General features: G+C 39.2%; 3 long non-coding RNA genes across 3 annotated transcripts in view; 2 read left to right on the plus strand and 1 right to left on the minus strand.

Annotated features, from left to right (window-relative positions):
* Positions 1 to 16968, minus strand: part of LINC02388 (long intergenic non-protein coding RNA 2388) — a 215758-nt gene that overhangs the window by 9261 nt on the left and 189529 nt on the right. The window lies entirely within an intron of this gene.
* LOC124902949 (uncharacterized) lies at positions 13065 to 15318 on the plus strand. Its single transcript, XR_007063337.1, has 3 exons — positions 13065 to 13269; positions 14496 to 14633; positions 14801 to 15318. It is a non-coding gene; the product is annotated as an uncharacterized LOC124902949 (long non-coding RNA).
* Positions 16483 to 16968, plus strand: part of LOC100506869 (uncharacterized) — a 220968-nt gene continuing 220482 nt past the window's right edge. Inside the window, exon 1 of the long non-coding RNA NR_126341.1 lies at positions 16483 to 16649. This is a non-coding gene — a long non-coding RNA (uncharacterized LOC100506869). The remainder of the gene's footprint in view (positions 16650 to 16968) is intronic.

A 16968-nucleotide genomic window follows, 5' to 3' on the forward strand; every position in this document is an offset into this window, starting at 1 on the left:
TTCTGTAGTAATGCCTCTTATAAGCAACTGTCATTTATTGTGTAAACCACTCTGCATATGCTATTTTATAAACAGTTATACTAATTCCATAAGGCAGCTGTTGATATACTCTTTTGATAGATAAGGAAACTTAGAGAGCATGATGACAGGAACAACTTCTGCTCTGACCAAGTGATCACCAGGGTAACAGAAAGAGGAAATTGGCTCGGTGAGAATTCACCCCTGATCCTGTACAAGTAGTTCATGTGTCATGCTCTGTTCTGCTGATGACTCTGCAGCTGTGGTGTCTCAGCACAGAAAACATGAGGCTATTGTAGCATCTGCCCGAAAAAGTACGGATCGCAGAACAGATCATGTGCAAACTCAGTTCATACACTGAAAGCATTAAGAAGACGTTGTAACAATTTTAAGCACAGAACATGTGTGCAGATATTTCAGTCAAATTCCTCTACTAGTTGGCATTCAAAACTGTGACTTTTCTCTAACTTTGCCATTAACTTCAGCTATACCTTAAATGGTAAAGAAGCAGGAAATAATGCAATTACTTAGGAAAATCTAACTAATAAATTACATAGGAAATTATAACTCTATAGCCTTCCCTCCAGAGTTTTCCATAATATCACCACCACCACCTTACATTTGTATAATGTTTTACAATAGACCTTGTAACTTTTTCATGAGAAGGTGGATATATAATGAGAAAAACCATAAATAAAGTATTGGGACTGACACAGATCTAGGTTCCAAATATAGCTCTTCCTTGATTTGCTGAGTTATTTCAGGTTAATGAGTTAAGTTATAGATTTCCTTATCTATAAAATAATACTCATACAATATTAATACAATATTTCATTCAGCTGTTAGGATGCCAAAAACAGACATCATGTGGGCAAACCTTTCCTAAGTTATAAAATGTGCCAAATTGTTCATGATTATCATTTTGTTTTATCCTCACGGCAACTCTGTAAGTCAGTTAGGATTTCCAGCCTAGCAGTACTCAGCCACACAGCTGTAACAAATCCATTCACATACTCAGGGAAATAAGGATATAAAGAGTGCCAGAGGCACTCACATGATACAGAAACTCTCAGTCGTGGTAGCACAGACTCATATGATTATAGTACCATGACATGGCCGGTAACAGTGACATGGGCAACCGTTTCTCGAAATTGACACAGCACTCCATTCACAGTGTCACAGATAAGATGCACATCTGCACACATGTACTTGTTTTACAAGTGAGGGAATTAAGAGTTAGATAATTCAAATGGTTCACCTAAGGCCATCATAAGTGTAAGATCCAGGATACGAGATAAGGGCTTCTACTCCAAAGAACTGAGCATTTATCGCATCACCAGCCCGGTTTCAGAAAAGGGACACATCACAAATCCCAATACCCACCACTGTTCTCTTGCATTACGTACCCATGCTTTTTGTTGACCAGCAGTTTCAATGTAAGCTTTTGCCATAGGTACTCTACTCTCTGAAATACTTTGGACAGTACAGTCTGATAATTACAAAACATCAAAGCTTAGAGGCGATCTTTATAACTCCCTTATATTAGAGAAAAATTCAGAGGGGTTAAGTAACTTTCCCCAGGCTGCACAGCTGGTCTGTGTCAGAGAGAGGCCAGATCTAAGTTTTGGACACATCATCTGAACTCCTTTTACTCCCTCTTCGCAGCTGTGAACCATCCTTAGAATGTCAACCGAGGTGCACAATGTGGCGGCCATGTCCTTGATGGCATGACAGGGGAGGGGTGAGTTGATACCTCTGCAGCATGCTTCACACACTGAATGACAGGTAGAAAAAAGGGACCATTATTTAGACCCCAGAGGCATGACATAAGTGTCCACCATGAAGTATTGGTTTGGCTTTCCTGTAATAATGAGAGAAGAAATAAAAAGAGCCAAGAGGAAAACCCATTTTGTTGCCAAGCTAATAACTCACATCATCCAACATATAAACGATTAATGCGATATTTAAAAGAGAAGTTGTAGCCTTGCATGAGGTGATCTATTGGCTAAATAGTTTCTGTGACATTTTGAAAAAGCAAAAAATAGTAATTGTCATACAAGACGTTTTTAATGGGAGCCCAGAAGGCAGCAGGCAAACCCAGAGAGAAAAGCAACATTAGTAAGCTCAACACTTGTTACTAAGCAAGATAGACCAGGACATTTTATTTCCTTCTGCTGTGTCCTCAGATCCAAGCTCACTTCCTTAGACTCACTTCAGATTTTAGGTGTGGCCCACGTAAGAGGTTACTGTGTGTCCAACATAACATAGCTGAGCCGCTTCAGAAAACTCACCCTTCTGAGAAGATCCTGACTTTCCAGTTGGTCTTTTTAACTTAGAGTTACACTCATGGTTCTATTTATCTGGGCAAAATTCAAGAGGCCACTTTCCCTTCCCTTCAAGAGGAAAGAGAAAGGCTAGGACATGGCCAAAAGGAGAGGGCAATATTTATCATTAGGACACAGGATGAGGGCAACAAGGAGAAGAAGCTTGCTCTTGGGTAGGACATTGTTTAGGGAAGGGCGTGTGTGGAGGAGAAGGTGAGCTGAGCTCCTGACACAAGGATGACTATGTGTGTGCAAAAGGCAGCTAGGGAAAATAAATGACTGCTTTCATTGGGAAAGTGTTATTTATAACATCCTAGAACTTTAGACTGAAATGGAACACAAATCCTGTATTTCATGGGGGAGGAAATCAAGGTTCGGGGAAGAGAACTTATCCAGATTCTGGGTGGTTAGGGGCATACCATGGGAGCCCAGATGTCTTGCCTCCCCGCCCAGGGCTTTTATACAACTCCATACAAAGAAATGTGAGTTATTAAGGGAAGAAATTTTTATCTTCATTTAATCTCTTCTGCCTCCCTTCCCTCTTTTCTCCGTCTTATTTATTTATATATTTTTTTAAGTTCTGGGATACATGGGCAGGATATATGGGTTTGCTACATAGGTAAACATGTGCCATGGTGATTTGCTGCACCCATCAATCCGTTACTGAGTTATTAAGCCCAGTATGCATTAGCTGTTTATCCTGACGCTCTCCCTACCCTCACCCCCCAACAGGCCCCAGTGTGTGTTGTTCTCCTCCCTGTGTCTATGTGTTCACATTGTTCAGCTCCCTCTTATAAGTGATAACATGCAGTGTTTGGTTTTCTGTTCCTGCATTAGTTTGCTGAGAATAATGGCTTCCAGCTCCATCTATGCACCTGCAAAGGACATGATCTCATTCTTTTTAAAGGCTGTATGGTATTCCATACATATATGTTATATATGTACCATATTTTCTTTATCCAGTCTATACTTGGTGGGCATTTGGGTTGATTCCATGTCTTTGCTATTGTGAATAGTGCTCAGAACATAGGTGTGCATGTATCTTTATAATAGAATGATTTATATTCCTTTGGGTATATACCCAGTAGTGGGCTTGCTGGGTCAAATGGTGTTTCTAGTTTTAGGTCTTTGAGGAATCACCACACTCTCTTCCACAATGGTTGAACTAATTTACATTCCCACCAACAGTGTAAAACCATTCCTATTCCTCTGCAGCCTTACCAGCATCTGTTGTTTCTTGATTTTTAAATAATTGCCCTTCTGACTAATATGAGATGGTATCTCATTGTGATTTTGATTTGCATTTCTCTAATTATTAGTGATGTTGAGCTTTTTTTTCATATGTTTGTTGGCTGTGTAAATGTCTTCTTCTTCTTTTTTTTTTTTTTTTTTTTGAGATAGAGTCTCGCTCTGTCACCTGGGCTGGAGTGCAGTGGTGCAATCTCGGCTCACTGCAACCTCCACCTCCCAGGTTCAAGCGATTCTCCTGCCTCAGCCTCCCAAGTAGCTGGGACCACAGATGTGTTCCACCATGCCCAGCTAATTTTTGTACTTTTAGTAGAGACAGGGTTTCACTATGTTGGCTAGGATGATCTCGATCTCTTGACCTTGTGATCAACCTGCCTCGGCCTCCCAAAGTGCTGGGATTACAGGCAGTAAATGTCTTCTTTTGAGAAGTGTGTGTTTGTGTCCTTTGCCCAATTTTTTATAGGGGTTTTTTTTTCTTCTGAATATGTTTAAGTTTCTTGTAGATTCTGGATATTAGACCTTTTGTCAGATGGATAGATCACAAAAATTTTCTCCCATTGTGGAGATGGTTCATTCTCTCTGATAATAGTTTCTTTTGCTGTGCAGAAACTCTTTAGTTTAATTAGTTCCTGTTTGTAAATTTTTGCTCTTATTGCAATTGCTTTTGACATTTTTGTCATGAAATCTTTGCCCATGCCTATGTCCTGAATGATATTGCCTAGATTTTCTCCTACGGTTTTTATAGTTTTGCATTTTACATTTAAGTCTTTAATCCATCTTGAGTTAATTTTTGTATAAGGTGTAATGAAGGGGTCCAGTTTCAGTTTTCGGCATATGGCTAGCCAGTGGTTCCAGCTTCTTTTATTTCTTCAGTATTTATTGAGCATCTGCTATGTGCCAGGCCCTGTTCTAAGACCCAAAGACAATGTGCTTGATGGAAAATTGTTTTGTTTTTACTCTTCACCTTCATATTCCCAGTACCTATCATCTGATAACTGCCTGTAAATGCTGATTGAAAAATAAGGCTCATATAAAAGAATGGAAAAGTTAATCATTTCTTTGGAATTAGCCAATAAAATTTTGTCCAGCCCAAGTTAAGTTCTTCTGGACACAAAATTGGATTGAACTAAATTGCTATAGGTAATCTGCGTTCAAAGTAATACAGACAGTAACATTGTATTTACCATTCTGAGAAAATCTGACTATGTAAATCTAGAGAAAATGATTTACTTTTCTAAAGTTTTTAAAGATGTAGTATTACAGCCTGGTAAAGTATCTGTGTTTCTAATAGGGCTTAAAGGAGGGAATTGGTTGTTGAACATATTTTAAATAAACTAGTGTCACAATAAGAAAGGCAACTGGTTTACAACTTTGAAACCATTTAACCCACAATAATAGATGATGCTTGCTGCATTTATCCCGTAACTCCACAGTACAGAGGCTTTTAACAAGAGAAGGCACAGGGTCTGTCTAAAATTTCAGGACAGATGACTCATGGAGATCAACTCATAATTTGAAGTAGGGCAATATGATCACCAGCAGTATCCACAGCCAAGGTGGATGACTTTGGTTTGGAAATGTCTCACTCGAATATACAATGTAAACCCAAGGCTTTACTGCGAGCACTATTTTCATATTTCAGATTAATATAATTTGGCATTTTTAGAAGAATATGATATTTGATTCTTCAAGTTACTAATCACTTGGATACTCTTTACTGCCTCCCAGTGCCATCACACCTGGCTCTTTCATTTTCTGTCTTAAGTTAGCAGGAAGTTTTTAACATTCTCATCAGAGACACATTTCCCAGTACTAATCTTAACTTTGATGAAAAACCATGTGTTGAAATGAATAACCAAATATCTTTCTCACTGAATCAGGCTCAGTTTAAATGATTTGGTTGAGGCAATTTAATCGGGGAAAAATAATCCAGACAACACCTGGCAAAAATAATAGGTCAAAAGTAAACACTCGAACTCATACGTTGATTTTCCCGCTACCTATCAACAATATTGATTTATTATAGTTGAGGTTTTTTGACACTTTGTGCATCTTTAAACAATTTTGTACATTTTTAGATTTAAAATATTTTAATGTTCTCATATTTTGCTGCTAATTCATTTTCCAGCAATTATGCCTACTTTGCAGTATTTCCCAAAAGGTGGAAAAAACCTAAATGTAAAACTGGTTAAATAAAATTATGGCTTGTTGATAAAATGAAATACTATGTGGTCATTGAAAAGCATGTTTCACCTGTAATCCCAGCACTTTGGGAGGCCGAGGCGGGCGGATCATGAGGTCAGGAGATTGAGACCATCCTGGCCAACATGGTGAAACCCCGTCTCTACTAAAAATACAAAAATCAGTTGGCCATGGTGGTGCGTGCCTGTAATCCCAGCTACTTGGGAGGCTGAGGCAGGAGAATAGCTTGAACCAGGGATTTGCAGGTTGCAGTGAGCTGCAATTGCGCCACTTCACTCCAGCGTGGCAACAGAGTGAGACTCAGTCTCAAAAACAAAAAAAAAGAAAAAAAGGAAAAAGAAAAGTATGGTTCAGAAATACGTATCTTGCCATGAAATATTCATAATATGTTGTCAGGCTTAATAAGCAGGTTGCAAAGTAGTTTTTACATTTGATTCTATTGAGAATAGCATATAATATGAGTGTTATACATATAACATATAACATAGAGCAGGATCTATGAGTTAGTAAGGAATTAATGATATAGTCTTCCAGGATTATGGATATATATGTTCTTCTGCTTGTCTGTATTTCTGATTTTTTAAAATGAGCAATAATTGTTTTGTAATGACAAAAATAAATATTTAAAAAGTTGAAAGAAAAGCATACATTTTTAGAGATTTTTTCTTCTTTAAAATTTCTACTTTTCAAGCAATTTTATATGTTTTGTTTAATTGCTTGTATTTTCAAAACTTGAAAATTATTTTTTAAAACCAGTTTAGATTTAATAATTTCTCTGCACTGAGTAAATGGTATTAACTGGGGCATGGTAATTTTACTGGTAATAGGAATTTAGTTTGCTTCCAGCATTTATTTTTCTAAAAAATTACACATGATTCAGAAGAGACACAAAATAAATGAGAACTTTTTTAGAGCAAAAAGCTTAGGGAAAATTTCTGAAAAAGTGGGCAATTAAAGAACGTATAAAAATTTGTCAGGACTGCCCCATAGCATACCAAAAGTAACAGCAAAACAGTGATTCAGAAGATTCACTTTCAACCAAATGGTTGCATTGGCCAATTTATTTTTGACCAGTCTGTTTCTATCTACTTCCATCTGAGCATTCAAGGAGTCCACTCATTTCATCATCCACATAGGGTAGAACACTCCACAGCTGAGGGACATCTCATCTACTCACTGTGTTGCTTGGCTCTATGAGACCCATTGACTTGGAATACCCTAGCAAATTATATAGAGGTTTAAATGCTTAAACCTCTACATAAACATAAATACCAAAAGAAGAATTGATAAAGTCCATGACTGACATAAATCTTTAAAGGTATGCTTGGAAAGTCTGAAACATAATGTTTGAGATGGGCCCTGATTTTATGTGTGAGAGAGATATTTATGCACACATAAACTATACAACTAGCTGGACTCCACACATACTAGCTTTGGACATGTGGCTCAATCTCTCTGAGCCTATTTTCTTACTAGCAATATGAAGGCAATTATATACAGAGCTCATAGAGTTGCAGGGACTAAATGATGTGTGGCAGGCAGAATAATGGCCCCTAAAGATGTTCACATCTTAATCCCTGGAAGCTGTGAATGTATGATATGGTATGATATGATATGATATGATATGATATGATATGATATATGCCAAAAGGAAATTTATGTTGCAGCTAGAATTAAAGTTGCTAACCAGCTGACATTGAAATAAAGGGATTAAGCTAGATTACCTGGGTGGGTGCAATGTAATCATGAGGGACCTCAAACGGGGAAGAAGAGAAGAGTCAATCACAATGTACAATGTGAGAAAGACTTGATTGGCTACTGCTAGCTTCAAAAATGGAAGGGACCTGTAAGCCAAGGGACACAGCAGCCTCTAGAAGCTGGAAAAGGCAAGAAAACAGATTTGACCCTAGAACCTCCAGAAAGAAGCACAGCCCTCCCCAAACCTTGATTTTAGCTCAGTGAGACCTCCTTTAGACTTCTGAAGTCTAAAATTGGAAGACAACAAACTAGTATTATTTTAAGCCCCTATATGTGTGCAAATTTGTTAGAGCAGCCAAAGGTTTTAGTACCTAAAGGTGTAGTGTTGCTGTAACAAATTCTTAAAAATTGTGGATGAGGCTTTGTAATTACTCAGTGGGCAGAGGCTGGAAAAAAAGCCTGGAATGCCATCAAGGTAATGTGAATAGAAATATAGATATTAATGACTCTGCTAATATAGACTCAGCAGGAAGTAAGAGGAGAGAAAACCCAAGTCATTTTTTAGAATACCTAAATTGTCATCAACAGACTATTAAATATGGAAGCTAAATGCCCTGCCAATGAGGAATCAAATGGAAATGAAGAGCAAGTTTTTGGAAGCTGGAGGGAGGGGAGTTGTTCTTTCACAGTGGCAGAAAGTGTACTTGAAGTGTGTCCCGTAGTTACGTGGAAAGCAACACCTGTAACAGAAAAACTTGGATATTTAGCTGAGGAGGTTTTTTAGCAAAGTGTCGAAGGCACAGCCTGTTGCTGCTTTTAAACAATGTGAGAGAACAGTTTTTAAAATTTTTACTCATGGTCAAATGTGAGTGGAAGAAAATTTGAGGGAAGAACTGTTAGGCAAAAAGAAACCAGGACTTGATGACTTGGGAAATTCTCAGCCTATCCATGTTGCAACGATGCTAAAATGAGAAGATTCACTGGTAGGAAAGTATGCTCTTGAGAGAAAGCCAAGGGTGTGGCTGGACGACCTTTTGCAGTGCCACAAAAGGATCAGAAGGTCAGAGTATTTAGCCACACAGAAGGCTCTTTGAAGAGATTAAGCCTGTGATTCATGGATCCCCTTAGCCACTCAGCAGAAGCCAGAAATAGGGATGGGATTATCCTGGAAAGAGAGGTGGAGGAGCCTCTTGTCAAATGGAGTGAATCCTCCATGACATATCTAGATGACCCAGACAAGGGCCCCAGCTTTGACTGAAAGTAACAGAGGGTATAATATGAAAAAAAGATTGTAGGACCTCCAAAGTTCTGCAAGCAAGAAACAGGATGATAAAACTACTCAGCTGCAAACTTATGCTACCTTTCATGACAAAGGAAGGATGACTCTGAGGTGGAGTCTTATGATTCCGGAGGGTGGGGCCTCAAGCCACAGAAAATTATTCCTAGGCCTTGAACCAAATGGAGTTTGCTTGGCTAGATTTCAAAATGTCTTGGGACTGGTGACTTATTTTTTCCTTCCATTTTCTCTCCTTTGAGGCCAGACTATCTATAATTAGTATCCTATGTCTGTCTTTTTGTTGTATTTTTGGAGCAAGAAATTTGTTTCTTGATTTTACAGTCTCATAGATGGAGCACAATTGTGCCCCTGGATAGACTATACCTAGAATTTTACCATGATTTAATAAGTAAACTGGCTCATAGCAAGTGCTCAATAATCTTGCTATTTATTAGTGCTGCTCTTGTTGTTAAGTCACTTCTGATCATAAGAGGATCTTGGTTCGGGCTCTAATGTCTGAACCAAGATGAAGTCATGGAGTCATGCTGTCTCTCCCCTGGCATATCCATCGGTATACAGAAAGCAAATACTGCTCTGCGTGAACTGGGAAGGGCCTTCCGTCCTTATATCTGTTTCACCTATGAATTTACATAGCAGCAAAGGAAAGTGTGCAAGCCGAGTGATAAAGATTCTAACCCCTTCTCTTTGAGGTTTATACTATTAAAATATGACTAAAGATCCAACATAGTACTGACCCAGAGCTAAATTGGCCCTTTATTTATATTGCTTCACCAGGTCTCCATGTAATACTTCATATCCCAGTTTTAAAGCTATTTCTTCATGTGTTTCCAGAAGGATTTAGGACTCTACTATTATACTTCTCTTAATTCCCTTTAGAATTGCAGCTTCAGCCCATAGTTACTTTCCCCTCATATGTTGTCCCTGGGGGATAATTTTTTGCATTACATCGAATGACAGAAGGTACCACCTGCACGCACAGTCTATAGCACTAGAAGCTGCCACAGCTGCTTGGTATTCAATATTACATTCCTCTTTCCATCACATCAGCAAGCATTGATATTCCCCAGAGACATCTGTTTCTGACTGTAGTCCAAATTTGTCCAATGATGAAATAATGGACTTTTCTGTCTATGTTAGCTTTTCCAAGAGTTTATGCCTATTTTGGTGTGCTATGATCCTGGGTTGGGGCTAAGTTTCCAAGTTTATTTCTCAGGGATCTATAGCAGGTGTTAGAGACTCTGTCTGTCCAAACAGCCACAGAAGGAGGGCTTTTTGGGAGATTTTGTGAATTTACTGTCAGCTTTCTTGCATTTGGGTGGACACCCTCTCCTCCTGACTGTGCCGAAATAGAATGATGATGCACTGTGGATAACTGAAGAGGATACCTTGGAGAAGTGGGGAGTAAACCCAAGCCAGAAGACAGCCAGTGGATATATGTTTTGCTTCAGACAACAGAGATGGTGATAAGAGCTGAATAATAATAATTATGATAGCAATGATAAAACAACTACACTAGTATTTATGAAGTGATTTCTAGTACTTTACTTGTATTATTTCATTTACCCCGCTTCAGGGACTCTATAAGTAGGTACAGGTTTAATGTCCCTTATCTGAAAGTCTAGTACCAGGAGTATTTTGGATTATGGATTTTTTTCAGATTTTGGAATATTTGCATTGTACAGTGAGCCTTTGAATAACACAGGTTTGAACTGCATGAGTCCACTTACATGTGGATCTTTTTCAACCAAGGGCAGGTGGAAAATAAGGTATTGGGAGATTTAAAAACTGCCCATACAGAGGGCTGAATTTCTATGTACATGAGTTCCACACGGCCAACTGCAGGATGTGAGTGTGTGTGGATTTTGGTATATGTGGTGATCCTGGAGTCAATGCCACACTGATACGAAGGGATGTCTATATACTTACAACATCCCCAAAAACAGTAATTCTGAAATCTGCAAAGCTCCAATGAGCATTTCTTTGGAATTTCATGTCAGTGCTCAAAAGGTTTCAGATTTTGGAGCATTTGAGGTTTTGAATTTTCAGATTAGGGATGGTTAACCTATATTAGTATGAATCCCATTTTGAAGATGAGGAAATCAAAGCCCAGAGAATTTGTAAAATTTTCCCCAGGTTCCTCAGTTAGTAAGTACTGGAGACAGGATTCGAATCCAGCCAGGCTGACTCTGCAGCCTGCTCTGTGAATCATTATACACAGGGCTTCCTCCTACTTGATAGGACTGTGTCACACTTAGGTGAAATTTTATTCTTTTCCTGATGCAGTTGCAAAGTAGTCATTTGGAATTGCAAAAAAGATCAACTGCTCTGGCTACAGAATAGTAGATTCTAGCCTTGTGATTTCCAACGTGTCTGTAGGCACAAACCAGAATGGAGGCCTTCAGGTCTCAGGGGGCACAAATGAATGGGAACACCAGGGACAAGTAGTGGTGGTTCCACAGCCAGGAACCTAAGCCAGACCTGAGCTGGACTTGCCAAGAGTAGTAACTGAGTTGTTTCTAATACTTAAGGAGACAGAAGACATCTTGGGGTTTTCTACCAACTGCTCATGTTCCCTGTATGGGGAAAGTGATAAGCATCTTCTAACAGGACTAAAACAGTTGTTGCCTGCTGCTATAGTTTGGGTGTTAGTCCCTACCAAACCTTATGTTGAAATTTGGCCCCCAGTGTTGAAGGTGGGGTCTAATGGGAAGCGCTTGGGTCATGGGGATGAATCCCTCATGAATGGATTAGTGCCTTCCCCATGTTGTGGGGTGAGTGAGTTCTTACTTTCTTCATTCCTGTGATAACTGGCTGTTAAAAAAGAACCTAGAATCTCTCCCTCTTTCACTTGCTCCTCTCTTTCATGTGACCTCTGCACATGCCAGCTCCCTTTTGCCTTCTGCTATAAATGGAAGCAGCCTGAGGCCCTCACCAGACGCTGAGAAAATGCTGACATCATGCTTTTTGTACAGCCAGTAGAACCATGAGCCGAATACACTCGTTCCCTTTATAAATTATCCAGCCTCAGGTATTCACTTAGAGCAACACAAAATGGCCTAGGACACCTATATTCTAGTAGGAGTAAGAGAATCATGATTAGGTAGAGGCTCCCAAATCTTTTAAGAATCTGATGAAATATATAGATTTCTCCCCAGAAATACGCATGTGTGGTCATACCAATTTCACATATAAGTCTGGGTGGTTTAGGCCAGTCCATGGCCTGGGGCTGATACCAGTCCATGGCCTGGGGATTGGGGACCCCTGGCCTAAACCCCTGGTTCCTGTTAGGAATGAGGCCACATAGCAGGAGGTAAATGGTGAGCAAGTGAGCAAATCTTCATATGTATTTACAGCTATTCCGCATTGCTCACATTACCTCTTGAGCTCTGCCTCCTGTCAGGTTAGCAGCAGCATTAGATTCTCATAGGAATGCAAACCCTATTGTGAACTGCACATGTGAGGAATCTAGGTTGCACACTCCTTATGATAATCTCATGCCTGATGATGTGTCGCTGTCTCCCATCACCCTCAGATGGGGCTGTCTAGTTGTAGGAAAACAAGCCCGGGGCTCCCATTCATTCTACATTATGATGAGTTGTAGAATTATTTCATTATATATTATAAGGTAATAATAATACAAATGAAGTGCATAATAAATGTAATGCACCTGAATCATCCCAAAACCATCCACCATGTCCCACTATCCATGGAAAAATTGTCTTCCACAAAACCAATCCCTGGTGCCAAAAAGTTTTGGACTACTGGTTTAGGCTATGGATATTAAAGTATAAAGATCTTAATTAGGAGTTGTGTTCACTCTAAATAAAAATAGTGTATCTGGATCTTTAAGTTCTCAGTACTGAACAGCAGCATTTCTTAAGGAAGAAAAGAGGCATCATTCTTTACTTTGGACGGATGCCACCATGTTATAGTAGAGAGATTTCTGATTGGCTACCAAAGTTCTTGATGCCTGATGTACACACACTTCCTTCCATTTATTCCATCAAACATTAATCTAAAGACTAATATGAAGGGATTTTGCAAATGTAATGAAGGTCCTACAGCAATTGATCCTAAAATAGAAAGATAATCTGGGTGGGGATGACTTAATCACACGATCCCTTTAAAGGACAGAGTTTTCTCTAACTGGCCAGAGAAGAGAAAGTCAGACTCTGGCAGTAATAGAAGGATTTGAGGCATCATTGCAGCTCTGACAATGGAGAAGGTCACAGAGCACGGAATGTGGGTGGCTCATAGACACTGGGAGTGGCCTTCAGCTGACAGCCATCAAGAAAACAAGGATTTCAGCCCTATGGTTGCAAGGAGCTGAATTCTGCCAACAACAAGAATGAGTTTGAAAGCAGATTTTCTCTTTGTTGTCTCCAGCTGAGCACTTAGCCTGGTCAACACCTTAATTTCAGCTTTGTGGTACCTTGCACAGAGAACACATCAAGACGTGAAAGACTTCTGTTCTACAAAATTGTGAGCTAATAAATGGTGTTATTTGAAGCTCCTAAGTTTATGGTGATATGCTATGCACCAATAGAAAATTAATACACCACGTTCCCAAGATGTTCACAGGAACTCTAGAGAGGACAAAATTTTCCCATTGTAGCAACTGTCCAAAGAAGTTGCCTTGCATATATACATGCTAGGTATTGCCTTGCATATATACATGCTAGGTATAATCTTCAGAAGTTTTTTTCTTTCCTAAGCTTGAAAAACTAGGTTTAAAATAGCTAGCTTGAATCCAACAACTATACAGGGAGAGTCTTGCTCTGAGGACTCTTGGAATAAAATGCAATGTATGAACATTGATTTTATCCATTCCCCTTATAAGATATATAGTAAAGCTAACTTTTCATTCTAAACATGCACTCTAGCTTCCCTCTTGCCTCTTTTACAAAAATTCTCAAGCTAAGCCTTATGGTACTCATGGCGCAATCTTCAGTATTACTCACCAGGTACTAGGGATTCCATTGCCATACCCAAGGCTTGGAAGTGACACACAGGCCTAGATTATAGTTCACTTTCTGCTTCGATTTACCATGGGTAAGTTACTTAACCTTTTTGGCTTCATGTAGACACATGGCAAGCGAGGGGTTTAATTATTTGATCCCTGGCATCCCATTGCTATGATTTGAATGTGTGTGTCCCTCAAAAATTCCTATGTTGAAACTTAATCGCCAAGGTGATAGTATTAGAAGGTGGGCCTTTGGGAGGTGATTCGGTCATAAGGCCTTCACCCTTATGAATAGCATTAATGTCCTTATAAAAGAGGTTTCAGAGAGTGCTCATCCCCTTTTTCTCTTCCACATCCCCCCATGTGAGAATACAGCAACAAGGTATGATCTTTGAAGCAGAGGCAGCCAGCCCTCACTAGACACTGAATCCACTGTTGCCTTGACCTTGGACTTCCCAGATTCCAGAACTCTGAGAAGTAAACGTCTGTTGTTTATAAATTACCTGGTCCAAGAAATTTTGATATAGCAGAAGGAATAGACCAAGGCACTCATTTAGAGCTAACAGTCAAAGATTATAGACTTCTAGGACAGGCAGTCCCCTGGCTCTAAAAACCAGTGACGTTAGATGAGTACATGACTAGTGGACGTCCATCCTTCAGTGTCTCAGATTCTTCTAACTTGTCCACCCAGGAGCTTTTCATTCTTGCTAGCACTTAGGATTTATCTCTTCTCCCTTTTCTCTAGGCCCTCTGTCAGAGGAAGACTCAGTGAATTTATTTTCCACCTGGTCACATTTCATAGACTGTGACAGCCAGTGGCTGCTATGACCACAGCCCACAAATCCATTCTGAAAATATGTGGTGGACACTTTTCAAGTAATAGGTAAAAAGCTATGTTCTCTTGGTAGAGATATTTTAGGGGAGACTCTGCCTTCTACTTCAATCCCTTTCCATGTCAAATTTAATAGCAAATTAGAATCAATATATAGCTTAATTACAATATTAAGTTTCCTTGTTATCTTGAGATTATCATACCTTTATTCCCTCCAGGTGCCTGGAATGTATGCAGATATGTTTCACAGAAATGCTAAGTCCTTAATCAATACAACAAAATATTTCCAGCTTCCCCAGCGTGATAAATCTAGCAATCAATTACTCTGCCATAGTATACGCCTGGTACAAGCAGGATGAAAAATATTATTGAAAAATTCTACCTCTTGATTAACTACTGATGAAAGTTCTCAGAATTAAAATGATATTTCTTAATTTACTCTTTTTCAAAATTGGAAACCAAATACACCAAACTATTATATTCTATAGATCATATTCCACAAGGTCATGAAACCTTCCAAGCATAAAAAGGAAAATCATCAGCCACCAGAAACAAAACAAAAAAAATAGGTAAATAAAACCACCTTCAATTTCTATTCCTAAGAATTCCAAGCTGTTTTCATATAGAAAATTATGTTATTTTGAAAGCAGTAATGAATTTGAAAACATCTCATGCTCCAGAAGCCTAATTTTAGATCTATTATGGAATTCTGCATTCTACAAACAACGCCCTATTAATCCCCCTATCGACTTGCTTCTTGTGGTCCTTGTCTGGAGCTGGTTTTAGTGCACAATGAAGCATTGAAATATTTTGTATAAATAAATAAAGGAGGATTGGGTAGCGAGTAACATCAAAGAACTTCACTAATTGGCAGTGCTAAATGTCTGCGACAGCTTGGTTAGCCACTGAAAAATCGCTCTAATGATATACTCACTGGAAATGTCCCCCGTTGCCTTAGAAAAAGTAAGATCCAACTAGGAAAAACTTAGTGTCCAGCTCCATCATGAAAACAGAATCTTCAACTGAAAGAGGTACATAGGACTGTGTGAAGAATATTTCTGCTGAAATGTTCGGGTGTGACAAGTGCTTTGAGTGGCAGAGAAGATAGAGGTAGAGAAAGGCAGCCACTGCTTCAAGGAGGAAGCAGAAATATGAGTTTGTATTTATTCCTTTACTCCACAAACATGCCAGGTACTACTATCTAGCAGGCACTGCACTAGGACAAGGTTTACATAGTGAATACAACGCACCCTTAGTAACTTTGGCACTGGAATGTTAGAAGAAACCCCAGGTTGGGGTGGGTAAGAGAAAATAGAATGGAAGAGAACTTAAACCAGAATTTGGGTCCTACTGAGGGAATACAAGGATGGGTGCCAGTTTTGCAAAGATCTCACTGTGGGACACAGTTTAAAAGTTGTGCACTATATAGAAAAATGAAACAGAAAACACCTGGTCTGATGGCATTTCATTGAGAATTTTTTGCCTTAGGATAGTGTATGAAAAGATGTGTGGATGAAGCTCGGGGGTGAGAAAAGACCATGCTGGGCTGTGCACAGGCAGGATAATGAAGAGGGTGAGTTGAGTAGTGTGATGGATTTTTTTTTTTTCCTCCAGCTTCTAGATCTTCATGGAGATAAAAAGTTTTGTCAAGATCTGATTTTTAAGTCCTCATATACTGGACTCTGACAGCTGAGCCATGGGTGGCAACTACTTAAACTAAGTCACTTTAAGCAACCATTCAAAGTACTTATGCAATCAGGTTGAAACTATTTTTAATGAGGAGAAGAAAGCTCCTGGGAGGCACTGACAGCTCTTGAACCCTGATAGCACACTTTGCACAGAGATTCCCCAGAAGGTGGCTCTGAGCAAGTCTTCACATTTGCCATTTGATTAATTAAAGATAAATGGCGGAGACTTTTCCCTAAATGGGTTACTTGATTTAAGAGCTGCTGGCTAATTTTGGTCGGATAATTTAATAGAAGAGGGAAGAGGAAAGGAAAGAAAGGGGCTTGAAGAAAGAGGAAGAGAAAAGAAACACAAGGATGGAGAACAAGGAGAGACCATTTGGTAACAAATTTATTTCTTGATTTTAACACTTGATTCCTAGGTCTTCCACCTTGAGACTATTTTGATTTGGTTTATGTCGTTCTTATGCCGTCTTCAACCAAACAAGGGACTTCATTTAATCGTTGATAGGATTTTTGTTTGTTTGTTTTCTTAAATGCTGGTTTCTCTGATAAACTCGGCAAATCTCAACAGGCCACCTCTTATGTATGACATTGATGTGGTTTGGTTTAGTGACATGGCTTAAAGGAGGCATGAAACTTTCATCTAGCTTTGGCACTAATAAAATGATTGTGAGACTTTGGTTGGGCAAGCTCCTTTA

This window comes from Homo sapiens, chromosome 12, assembly GCF_000001405.40.
Source record: "Homo sapiens chromosome 12, GRCh38.p14 Primary Assembly".
Taxonomy (NCBI): domain Eukaryota; kingdom Metazoa; phylum Chordata; class Mammalia; order Primates; family Hominidae; genus Homo; species Homo sapiens.